Genomic DNA, 12,307 nt, shown 5'->3' with positions numbered 1-12,307 from the left:
GGTCCAGGAGTTGCAGGCTGCAGTGAGCTATAATTGCATCACTGCACTCCAGCCTGAGCCACAGAATGACACAAACACACACACACGTACACACGTGTATGAACTTAGTGCAGTGGCTCGTGCTGCCATGAGCTATAATTGCATCACTGCACTCCAACCTGAGCCACAGAATGACACACACACACACACACACATGCGCGCACACACACGAACTTAGCCAGTGCAGTGGCTCATGCTGCAGTGAGCTATAATTGTGTCACTGCACTCCAGCCTGAGCCACAGAATCTCACACACACACACACACACACACGTGTGTGTGTATGAACTTAGCCAGTGCAGTGGCTCGTGCTGCAGTTAGCTATAATTGCATCACTGCTTTCCAGCCTGAGCCACAGAATGAGACCCTGACACACACACACCCAAGCACACACACAGTGTATGAACTTACCCAGTGCAGTGGCTTGTGCTTGTAATCCCAGCTACTCAAGAGGCTGAAGTGGCCCTGGAGTTTGTTTTTTAGTACCTATGGTTTTGCAAGCAGGGTCCATCTGTTTTTTCATTAGTTGTCACATGAAGGAATGAAGTAGAGGCATAAAAAAAAAAAATTTGCCCTTATCATCAGAGTTAAGTGGAAGAGTGAGGACCCAAGCATAGGCAATGTGATCCAGAACTCTCAATATTTAACCACTAGGATTGTCTTCTAACTGAAAATTGTGCCTAAAAAATACCCTTTATTGTAACTAACTGTAAATTTAAAATTTCTCTTTATAAAATGTTACTAGATTTCAAAAAAATTGATAAGTTGAGTTTTAATGGAGTAAAGAAATTTAAAAAATGCTTTTAGTATATGGTTGCTAAGAAAACACAATACTTCTTATGAAGGAGGTTAGTATAAAATGCATGATGAATTTAAAACATTGAACTCATAACTTTTCTGAAGTTGGCTAATGAAAAAGTTTTCAGTGACACTTTTGTTAATAGGGGTTAATATATTCAGGTCATGGCTGAAAGGGGGCATATATGGGTCAAATAATTAGACATGTATCTCTTGGGATTGTTTTATTTTAGATTCTGAGACGCCCATCCCTGCAACGTCGAGCTGGCTCCCGCTCTGATGTAACGCATCATGCTGTTACCTCGCAGCTACCACAGGTACCTGCTGGAGCAGGGAGCCGACCTATTGGGGAGCAGGTAATATCTTCATGTTTATCTTCCCTACCATATGTATATTTTTCCCTTTTATAGTAAAGCACCAACCTAAATGCCTACAAAAATGTGCAGTGTGGAAGGGGTGAGAGGAGGGAGCTACCAAACAGTTACACAAAGAAACTTCCCCTACTGGTTGGGTTTCATATTCTATATAGAATCCATGATTGCTGTGACATAATGCATGCAGGAGTTTAATGCTTGAAACCCCTTTACGTTGCTTTGGGTAATAGTAAACATACATTAAAATGGTTAATATATGGTATCTAAGATTTGTAGTTTTAGTAGTAGTAGAAGTGGTAGTAGATGCAGCAGTAGTAGTTTATTAATAGCTAACGCTTAATGATCACTAACTAAGTGCTAGAGTTGTTTTTGTTTTTGAGACAGGATTTCGCTTCATTGCCCAGGCTGTTCTTGAACTCTTGGGCTCAAGCAATCTGCCTGCCTTGGCATGAGCCACTGTGCCTTGCCAGCATAGTTCTTAATACTTTATGTATATTAACTAATTCTTTCCAACAAAACAACCTTTTTAGGGTTATTGTTAGCCCTAATTTTCAGATGAAGTAATTGCTAAAAGTCATACATGTAATAGTAGTTTTGGTTCCAGGATGCAAACCCAAACATTCTGAAACCAGAGCTGTCAAATGTCAGTTTGTTTCAGTTAAGTGTTTAAACCAAACTGTGGATGTGCACGTGTGTACTTACATGCTGTCTGCCTCATAGTAATTTAAAGCAACTCCCCAGCATTTTATTTGGTATATAAGTAATTCAGTACAAAATGTAATTTACGTTTTAAAAACCAACTTATTTTAAAATAATTATAGGTTCATAGGAGGTTGCGAAAATACTCCAGAGAGGTCTTATGTGCCCTTTACCTAATTTTTGCCATTGGCTAGTTTCATATTACCTAATTTTAGTATAGTAACAAAGCCAGGAAATTGAGGATGTTTGTGAATGGTTATCTTTTTATTTTTTTTGAGACAGAGCCTCACTCTGTCTCCCGGGGTGGAGTACAGAGTGTAGTGGCACGATCTCGGCTCACTGCAACCTCCGCCTCCCAGGTTCAAGCGATTCTCCTGCCTCAGCCTCCCGAGTAGCTGGGATTACAGGCGCCTGCCACTATGCCCAGCTAATTTTTTGTATTTTTAGTAGAGATGGGGTTTCACCATGTTGGCCAGGCTGGTCTCGAACTCCTGACCTTGTGATTCGCCTGCCTCAGCCTCCCAAAGTGCTGGGATTACAGGCTTCAGCCACCATGTCTGGCCATGAATGGTTATCATTTGGTGAAATGTGTAGATTTGTATAACCATCACTGATGCAACTTACTTTGGGTAAACTGAAATGATGAAGAAATGTATGTATCTATACATGTTTAGGTTAGCTCATTTTGGGTTTAAGAAATATGGCTAAGGAAATGCAGTAGTTCTAAATAACACATTGCTTTTGCAACAATGAAATTTTGCATCTTATTATGTTTGTGTGTGAAATTTTATTTTGATAGGAAGAAGAAGAGTACGAAACTAAAGGAGGACGCCGGAGAACATGGGATGATGATTATGTGCTAAAGAGACAGTTTTCTGCATTGGTTCCTGCTTTTGATCCTAGACCTGGTCGTACTAATGTCCAGCAGACAACTGATCTAGAAATACCACCCCCAGGTACAGAATGTTTTGGTTTTGTGATTTAATTTTAATACATACTAAATCAGATATGAAAAGTAGGGTGTTGCTTTTGTATGCACGTTATTAAAAATTTTTTTTTAGTTTTGTGTATGCAGGTTATAAAAAATTTTTTTAGTCAGCCACAAATTCTTTAAAAAGTAAAGGTTTTTTTAAAGGAGCAAATTACAAATTATTTCAAATTTTAAAAACCAACATGTGTTTTGTATTTGTGCAATTTTTAAGGCAAAGTCCCATTTAAAGGTGGGAAATTTTTACTGTATTTTCTACTGGATCAAAATTTCTAAGGATTTATTCCTCTCAGTTTTGAAAGGCTATCCAGTGGTTACAGTCATGCCCTCTAGAGTCAGTTGGCCTGGGTGACAACCTTATCCCTTACAAAACTCTATTTTAGATTGTGGTAGGCATACTAATTTCTCCCCAAAATCAGGTTCTAACCTCTGGAACTTATGATATATTATCAAAGCAGACCAAAGAGACTTTGGAGATGTAATTAGGGATCTTGAGAAGGGGAGATAATCCTGGATCATCCAAGTGGACACAGTGTAATCACAAGAGGCAGGAGACAGAGAAGAACATGTGACTAAGGAAACAGGAGTCAGAGTGACGACGAGCAGTGAGCCAAGGAATGTGGGCAGCTCCTAGATGCTAGAAAAGGCAAGGAAACAGATTCTTCTCTAGAGCCTCTAGAAAGAATGAAGCCCTGCAAATCCATTTTAGGCATTCGACCTCTAGAACTATGAGATAATAAATTTGTGGTAGTTTTTTTTTTTTTTTTTTTTTTTTTTTTCCCTTGAGATGGAGTCTTGTTTTGTCACCCAGGCTGGAGTGCAGTGGCACAGCCTCGGCTCACTGCACCCTCCGCCTCCCAGGTTCAAACAATTCTCCTGCCTCCGCCTCCTGAGTAGCTGAGATTACAGGCATGCACCACCATGCCCAGCTCATTTTTGTATTTTTAGTAGAGACGGGGTTTCACCACATTGGCCAGGCTGGTCTCGAACTCCTGACCTCAAGTGATCTACCCACCTTGGCCTCCCAAAGTGCTGGGATTACAGGCGTGAGCCACCGTGCCTGGCAAGTTTGTGTTATTTTAAACCACCCAATTTGTGGTAATATTTTATAGCAGCAGTAGGAAACTGATATATTGGGCAAGTCACCAAAACTATCCAAGCTTGAATTTCTTCATCTCTTACATGAGAGAATAAAGGTCCCTGTTTGACAAGGTAGTTAAAAAGCTTAAATGAAGTAAGGTATGTGAAGTGCTTAGCATGCTGCCTGATGTGTGTCTCAATAAATGTCAGCTATTATAATCAGTAAATTATCCTTAACAAAGATTTAAATTGTTGATTAAGTGAGGAGTGTATTTTTTAGCCTGATAGTATTAGGCTGGGCACGGTGGCTCACGCCTGTAATCCCAGCACTTTGGGAGGCTGAGGCGAGTGGATCACAAGGTCAGGAGTTCAAGACCAGCCTGACCGACATGGTGAAATCCCGTCTCTACTTAAAAATACAAAAATTAGCCAGGCTTGGTGGTGCGCGCCTGTAATCCCAGCTACTCAGGAGGCTGAGGCAGGAGAAATTGCTTGAACCCGGGAGGCAGAGGTTGCAGTGAGCCAAGATCACACCACTGCACTCCAGCCTAGGTGACAGAGTGAGACTCTGTCTCGAACAAAAAAAGACACCTGTATTAAATATGAAAGTAAGTATACTCGGTTGTATAAATGTTCTTTGGGGAGGATAGATAGACTGAATCAAGGTGTTCTAAGGTCCCTTCAAAAAGGAAAATCTTGTTTCTTTGGATCTCAGAGAAAAAAAATGAATTATAAAAAAGGAAAACACATTCTAGAGAGTATAAATAGGCACAAACTTTTTGTAGAGCTCTCTGCCAGTATATTTTGTATCTTCTGACAAAGTGTTGTTGCCATTGGTAATTTTAAATATTAGCTCTGTACCCCGTTTTGTACACATAGGTGACTGTAGAAGTATTTATATTTTCAAAAAATTGGAAATGACCTTAATTATGTCCAGTAACTGGGATATGCCTCTGTTTAGGTACAGTGGGATATTGTGCAGTGAAAGAAATAATATTTTAGAAGACGATCATGATAATGAAGAAAACATTCATGAGCTAATAAAAAATGAGAGCATTCTCCAAATACATTATGAAACTAATTATATGTGTGTGTGTATATGTGTTTACCTCATGATGCAGTTATTCAGTGTGATAAAAGGTTGACACGTCATTGGCCCAGAATATGTGGTTTTCTCTGAGTATGGATACTTTTAGTTTTCTCATTTATAAAAAAAATTTTTTTTTGAGATGGAGTCTCGTTCTGTCACCCAGGCTGGAGTGCAGTGGTGTGATCTCGGCTCACTGCAACCTCCACTCCCAGGTTCAAGTGATTCTCCTGCCTCAACCTCCTGAGTAGCTGGGACTACAGGCGGGCATCATCATGTCCAGCTAATTTTTGCATTTTTGGTAGAGACGGGGTTCACTGTGTTACCCAGGCTGGTCTCAACTCCTGACCTCAAGTGATCTACCCGCCTCGGCCTCCCAAAGTGTTGGGATTACAGACATGAGCCACTGCTCCTGGCCTCATTTATAAAATTAAAATGTTTCCGAAGTATTCATACAGTTAGTATTATTTTCATGTAAAAATGAGAGAGCTCTCTATCATACACATGTATTCTGTTCTAGCACTCTTTCAGTAACGTAGGTGTAATTATTTCCATTACAAAAGAAACAGAAAACAGGCTGGGTGCAGTGGCTCATGCCTGTAGTAATCCCAGCACTTCAGGAGTCTGAGACGGGCAGATCACTTGAGATCAGGAGTTTGAGACCAGCCTAGCCAACATGGTGAAACCTGCCGTCTCTACTAAAAATACAAAAATTATCCAGATGTGGTGTTGGGCACCTATAATCCCAGCTACTCGGGAGGCTGACGAAGGAGAATTGCTTGAACCTGGGAGGCGGAGGTTGCAGTGAGCTGAGATCACGCCACTGCACTCCAGCCTGGGCAACAGAGCAAGACTCCATCTCAAAAAAAGAAAAAAAAAGAAACAGAAAGCAAAAATGTCGACGCCTAGAGAGTCTTAAGTAGCTGACATCCTTTAGCTAATATATGGCAGAGAGGTTTGGATTTCATGTAGCCTTGTTTCCTAGTGTAGTGGCCTTTCTTGGACTGCTTGTTTTAGTATAATTGTTTTTCACCCATCTTCCAAATTTTTAGGGACCCCTCATTCAGAGCTCTTGGAAGAAGTCGAATGTACTCCGTCACCTCGATTAGCTCTCACTTTGAAAGTAACAGGTCTTGGAACGACTCGTGAAGTTGAATTACCACTCACCAATTTCAGATCAACCATCTTTTACTATGTACAAAAATTGCTTCAATTGTCCTGTAATGGCAATGTGAAATCAGATAAACTTAGGCGTATTTGGGAGCCCACATACACGTAAGAAATTTTAACTTAATGTTTTGGTAGATAATGTCCTAGTGTAGAGCCAAGAAGCATTGCATTTATTTTGGATTATAGGAACAGAAAAGATTTTGTTTTTATTCTGTTGGCTTACAGGAACAGATAATAGTGTTTGGGACTCTTGGTGTAGAATGATTAAGTTTTAGAAGTAGAAGGACATTTACAGTCTATACTAGCTTCTTACGTAATTGTTGAAAAGAGCGTCATTTGAATTCTTTGTCTAAGATCGTGTATGAGTACTAACTATCTTCTTTCTGTTCTTGATTTTGGGGGTGTGTGGGTTAACACCTGCCTTTCTTTGTACAAATAATCATCAATGACTTAGGGTAAATTTATTTAACATTTTTGTGCCTCACATTCCTAATCTATAAAATGAGAGTGGTTTTAAGGAATTAATGAATTAACATGTATAAAGTGTTTTCTTTACTTTTCTTTTTTTCTGAGACAAGGTCTCTCTCTGTTGCCCAGGATGGAGTGCAGTGGAGTGCAGTGGTGCGATCATGGCTCACTGCAGCCTCAAACTCCACAGGCTCAGGTGATTTTCCCACCTCAGTCCCCTGAGTAGCTGGGACTACAGGTGTGCACCACGAGGCCTAGCTAATTTTTGTATTTTTTGTAGGGATGGGGTTTTTACCATGTTGCCCATGCTGGTGTCGAACTTCTGAGCTCAAGTGATCCGTCCACCTCAGCCTCCCAAAGTGCTGGGATTACAGGTGTTGAGCCTCTGTGCTTGGCCTGCAAAGTGTTTTCAATACCCCCTAGGATATATTAAGTGCTCAGTAAATGTTATCTATAAAGTAATTGTTATTTAATAATAATAAATTATATCATCATTCTTACTGTAACTTCACTTCTATTAGTATGTTTTCTGATGTTCTCTTAACATCACTGATAATCTTATGTAATGGCCAATAAAAGTAATGTAGGTCCTTTTGAAATAGAACAGAAAATCATAACGGTATTCTCCCGCCCTTCAGTTTTTTTTCCCCAAGTTCCCAAGAGCTAGGAAAACCTCCCTTCAATTTTTATTACAGTTTAAAAATTGATCTCAACTGCCTTATTTGAACATAAGCACTCCTGATCATTGTTATTTCTATCCTTCTTTCCATCTAGACACAGAGAACCTGTTTCTTATCCCATTGTATTTTTACAACAGTTATAGCCATGTGCTATGTAACAACTTTTCAGTCAGTGATGGACCATGTATGACAGGGGTCCCATAAGATTATAAAACCACATTTTTACTGTACCTTTTTTATGTTTAGATACACAAATACCATTGTGTTACAGTTGCCTATTCAGTACAGTGATATGCTGTTAAGGTTCGTGGCCTAGGAAAAATAGGCTATAACACATAGCCTACGTAGATAGTAGGCTATACCATTTTGTTTTGTGTAATGTACTCAGTGATGTTTCACAACCACCAGATCACCTAATGCTGCATAACACTTGATACAGTCATATCTTTAAAAGTTCTAGATTTGATACATGCTTTCTTTGTAATAATGATAAATTTATAAATCATAATTCAGGAATATGGTTTCTGCTACTTTGCCTTATGTTTAACAAATTAACATTTTTTCTTAAAAATACTCCTTGAGGCTGGGTGTCGTGACACACCTTAATCCCAGCACTTTGGGAGGCCAAGGCAGGAGCATCGCTTGAAACCAGGAGTTTGAAACTAGCCTGGACAACATAGCAAAACCTTATCTCTACAAAAAATATAGAAAAAAAGAATCCTCCTTGAGTTCAGTGTTCAGTGCAGGCATATGTCTAGTGAATGACATTCACTTTTTTTTTTAAAGAATTGAAGCCTTATTGGAAATAATCACAAATTATATATGAATTAACTTGAATATCTTCATGTTTAGAATCATGTACAGAGAAATGAAGGATTCTGATAAAGAAAAGGAAAATGGAAAAATGGTAAGTTATTTTAGAACATTGGTTTACTCTTGGCTATTTAGTTAAAAGAAGAAAGATAGTAAAACTAACACAGTATTGCAGTTGAACGTTGAAGGGAATAATGACTAACATGGAATTCTTTAGATTAGACCAAGTGCATGATCTTAAAGCTACCTCATGTAATGCATGTGAAATATCATAGACTTTATAATTGGGAAAGGCCAACATTTGGTTTTTCCTGTTGTAGGGTTGCTGGTCTATAGAGCATGTGGAGCAGTACCTTGGCACTGATGAATTACCAAAGAATGACTTGATAACCTACCTGCAGAAGAATGCAGACGCTGCTTTCCTGCGCCACTGGAAATTAACTGGCACTAATAAAAGTATTAGGAAAAACAGAAATTGTTCTCAGCTCATAGCTGCATATAAGGTATATATTGGCATCAAAACACTATTTTGATTGCAAATGGCTTCGTGCTTTGTTTTGCAGCTTTGGAAGCTTCTTAAGGAACAGCAGTTCATTGAGACATAATTTTAAAAATGAGGTTGAATTAACACTGTTAATGCACAAATTCTAAAATTTCAAATATGGCTGGTAGCATTGGATCTGAATGCAGACTTTGACCATGGCTTAGAGTGGTTATATTTTATTTGGGAATTTTAATGGTTTAGAATGCCTTGATTTATGTCTTGTGTTATGTTTTTATTTAAAAAGAAGGCACTTTAAAAAATTCCAACCCTTTCATAGTGGTATTGATACAATGATACACTGTTTTTCTTGAAAATGTGATTAATGGCCAGTTTTTCTAATTGTTTCTATAGGATTTTTGTGAGCATGGAACAAAGTCTGGGTTAAACCAGGGGGCCATTTCTACTCTTCAAAGTAGTGATATTCTTAATTTAACAAAAGAACAACCTCAGGCCAAAGCAGGCAATGGACAGAACTCTTGTGGAGTAGAAGATGTCCTTCAGCTTCTGCGTATTCTATATATAGTTGCAAGTGACCCTTATTCAAGAATATCCCAGGAAGGTCTGTAAGAAGCCTTGTTTCATTTCTATAGCAGTTTTAAAGCAAGTCAGTTTATATTTTTATTAATTTTATTAATTAATTTTATAGATGGTGATGAACAGCCTCAGTTTACTTTTCCACCAGATGAATTCACTAGCAAAAAAATTACAACAAAAATATTACAGCAGATTGAGGTAATAAAATCAGACAGCTGAACTCTTCATTCTATTACTGTTGGACTTTTCCTAATATTCCCTTTACTTTCTTTTCTACCTCTCACCATCTTTCCCTTCCCTCTGATTGGTAATTTGAGCTATATGGTCCTTTGCATTTATTTCCTAATTACAGGTTTATAATTGACTTGGTAATTTTTAATAATTGCCTTATAGGGTCAGGTGTGGTGGCTCATGCCTGTAATTCCAGCATTTTGGGGGCCAAGGTGGGTGTATCGTTAGAGGCTAGGAGTTCGAGACCAGCCTGGCCAATATGGCGAAACCCAGTCTCTACTAAAAATACAAAAATTAGCTGGGCACGGTGGCACATGCCTATAATCCCAGCTACTTGGGTGGCTAGGGCAGGAGAATCGCTTGAACCCAGGAGGCAGAGGCTGCAGTGAGCCGAGATCGTACCACTGCACACCAGCCTGGGCAACAGAGTGAGACTCTGTCTCAAAAAAAAAAATGAACGAATGAATGAATGCATGCATGCATGAATGCCTTATAGCACTAAGACATTATTATTTGTTAATTCGCAGGAACCATTGGCACTGGCAAGTGGGGCTCTGCCAGACTGGTGTGAACAATTAACCAGCAAATGTCCTTTTCTAATACCATTTGAAACTAGACAGCTTTATTTCACATGTACAGCATTTGGCGCCTCAAGGTAAGAAGCCTTTTTTTTATGTTTTTAGAATAAGTATGCTTTTATGTTATGTAAGTTGAAAATGTACAACTATACTGTCAAGACTGATAGAGGGAATATATTATCTTGTATTCTTATAAAGAATAGTCAGCATTGCCTTTTGGCCTGAACTACCAATCTTCTAGTAATTCGCCAAAATGACTAATCCAAAGGAAAGGAGGAGAGATACCCGATAGATGTTTTCTAGGTCTTTTAGAAAACATGGAGTTGTTCCTTTGGCCACGTATATGCAAATCTAAAAGAGAGGTGATACTGTAGACATTAAGGGAATGGGTACTGTTCAAAAAGGAATGCCCCACAAGTGTTACCGTGGCTAAACTGGAAGAGTCTACAGTGTTACCCAGCAGGCTGTTGGCATTGCTGTTTTTTTGTTTTTGTTTTTGTTTTTGTTTTTTTGAGACAGAGTCTCGCTCTGTCGCCCAGGCAGGAGTGCAGTGGTGTGATCTCGGCTCACTGCAACCTCCGCCTCCCAGGTTCAAGCGATTCTCCTGCCTCAGCCCCACTGAGTGGCTGGGATTACAGGTGCACGCCACCACGCGTGGCTAATGGCATTGTTGTAAACAAACAAGGGCAAGATTCTTACCAAGAGAATTAATGTGCATATTGAGCACATTAAGCACTCTAAGAGCCGAGATAGCTTCCTGAAACACATGAAGGAAAATGATCAGAAAAAGAAGGAAGCCAAAGAGAAAGGTACCTGCATTTAGCTGAAGTGCCAGCCTGTTCCACCCAGAGAAGCGCGCTGTGTGAAAACCAAGGGAAAGAAGTCTGAGCTGCTGGAACCTCTTCTCTGTGAATTCATGCATAATAGTGTTTAAAAAAAATAGCCAGGCGCGGTGGCTCACACCTGTAATCCCAGCACTTTGGGAGGCCGAGGCGGGCAGATCATGAGGTTAGGAGATCGAGACCATCCTGGCTAACGTGGTGAAACCCCATCTCTACTAAAAATACAAAAAGTTAGCTGTGTGTGGTGGTGGGCACCTGTAGTCTCAGCTACTTGGGAGGCTGAGGCAGGAGAATGGCGTGAACCTGGGAAGTGGAGCTTGCAGTGAGTAGAGATTGTGCCACTGCACTCCAGCCTGGGCGACAGAGCGAGACTCCATCTCAAAAAAATAAAAAATAAAGATAAAAATAAAAGACCTCTGGACTGTAAAAATGTTTCTCTTCCTTGAGTAGAAGTGTGGTGTCCTCTCCCCCAAAGAAATACTTCAGGCAAATTTTAATTTTGTCCTAAGCCTAATTGTGTAATGTCTTTACTATTCAAATTTAATGTATTTCTTGCTGAAAGATGTGAGATGGCTTATTGTGCAACAAATTACTCAATTGGTTAGAAAATGGTCAGATATTATTTACGAAATATTTGTACTACTTTGAAGATAGTCCCTCTAATCATGGAAGAAGTAATTTACCAAAAAAAAAAAAGCATTTAAAAAGTTTCTGTTTTCAGGCTGGGCACGGTGGCCCATGCCTATAATTCCAGCACTTTGGGAGGCCAAGGCAGACACATCACTCGAGGCCAGGAGTTCGAGACCAGCCTGGCCAATGTGGCAAAACCCCATCTCTACAAAAAAACACAAAAATTAGCTGGGCGTAATTCCAGCTTTTTAGGAGGCTGAGGCATAAGAATTTGCTTGAACCCGGGAGGCAGAGGTTGCAGTGAGCTGAGATTGCACCACTGCACTCCAGCCTGGGCAACAGAGCAAGACTCATTGTAGGTGCTCAATAAATATTTTGTTGAATGATTGTTTACCTTAAGTACTCTTCCAAAATAGTTGTAAAAAAAAAGTTATAATTTAAACTGTTTGTTTTCTTCCCTGATAGTTACATTTTTGTACCATTTAATGCCATTTACAAAGCATTTATATACATAGAACTATAGGCATGTTGTGATAACTGGCATTGATTATAATTTGTTTTATAAATGAGGAAATTGATTCTGCACGTACTTAGCTGATTTGCCTAAGATCATGAGAAAATAGTAGCACACATGAGAGTAGAACCTTCAGCTTCTTATTCCTAATTGTCGGTTCTTCCTCCCACCATAAATGGATTGTTATTAAAAAAAAGAAAATGTGGCCGGGTGTGGCGGCTCATGCCTGTAATCATAGCA

General features: G+C 39.4%; 1 protein-coding gene and 1 pseudogene across 21 annotated transcripts in view; both read left to right on the top strand.

Annotated features, from left to right (window-relative positions):
- The window catches only part of HECTD1 (HECT domain E3 ubiquitin protein ligase 1), a 107,677-nt gene that overhangs the window by 85,220 nt on the left and 10,150 nt on the right, over positions 1-12,307 (top strand). For 13 of the 21 annotated variants that reach the window (XM_017021153.2, XM_011536621.3, NM_001439060.1 and 10 more), the window contains 8 exons: positions 1,069-1,191; positions 2,708-2,864; positions 6,116-6,338; positions 8,234-8,288; positions 8,515-8,697; positions 9,090-9,297; positions 9,385-9,470; positions 10,031-10,158. In XM_017021153.2, the coding sequence (XP_016876642.1) occupies positions 1,069-1,191; positions 2,708-2,864; positions 6,116-6,338; positions 8,234-8,288; positions 8,515-8,697; positions 9,090-9,297; positions 9,385-9,470; positions 10,031-10,158 (1,163 nt within the window). The remainder of the gene's footprint in view (positions 1-1,068; positions 1,192-2,707; positions 2,865-6,115; positions 6,339-8,233; positions 8,289-8,514; positions 8,698-9,089; positions 9,298-9,384; positions 9,471-10,030; positions 10,159-12,307) is intronic. The other 8 variants (XM_047431208.1, XM_047431206.1, XM_047431204.1 and 5 more) reach the window with 1 other exon arrangement.
- On the top strand, positions 10,291-11,021 carry RPL21P5 (ribosomal protein L21 pseudogene 5; annotated as a pseudogene).

The sequence above is a fragment of the Homo sapiens genome, chromosome 14, assembly GCF_000001405.40.
Source record: "Homo sapiens chromosome 14, GRCh38.p14 Primary Assembly".
In the NCBI taxonomy this organism is placed as follows: domain Eukaryota; kingdom Metazoa; phylum Chordata; class Mammalia; order Primates; family Hominidae; genus Homo; species Homo sapiens.
This window is presented reverse-complemented; position numbering and strand designations above follow the sequence as displayed.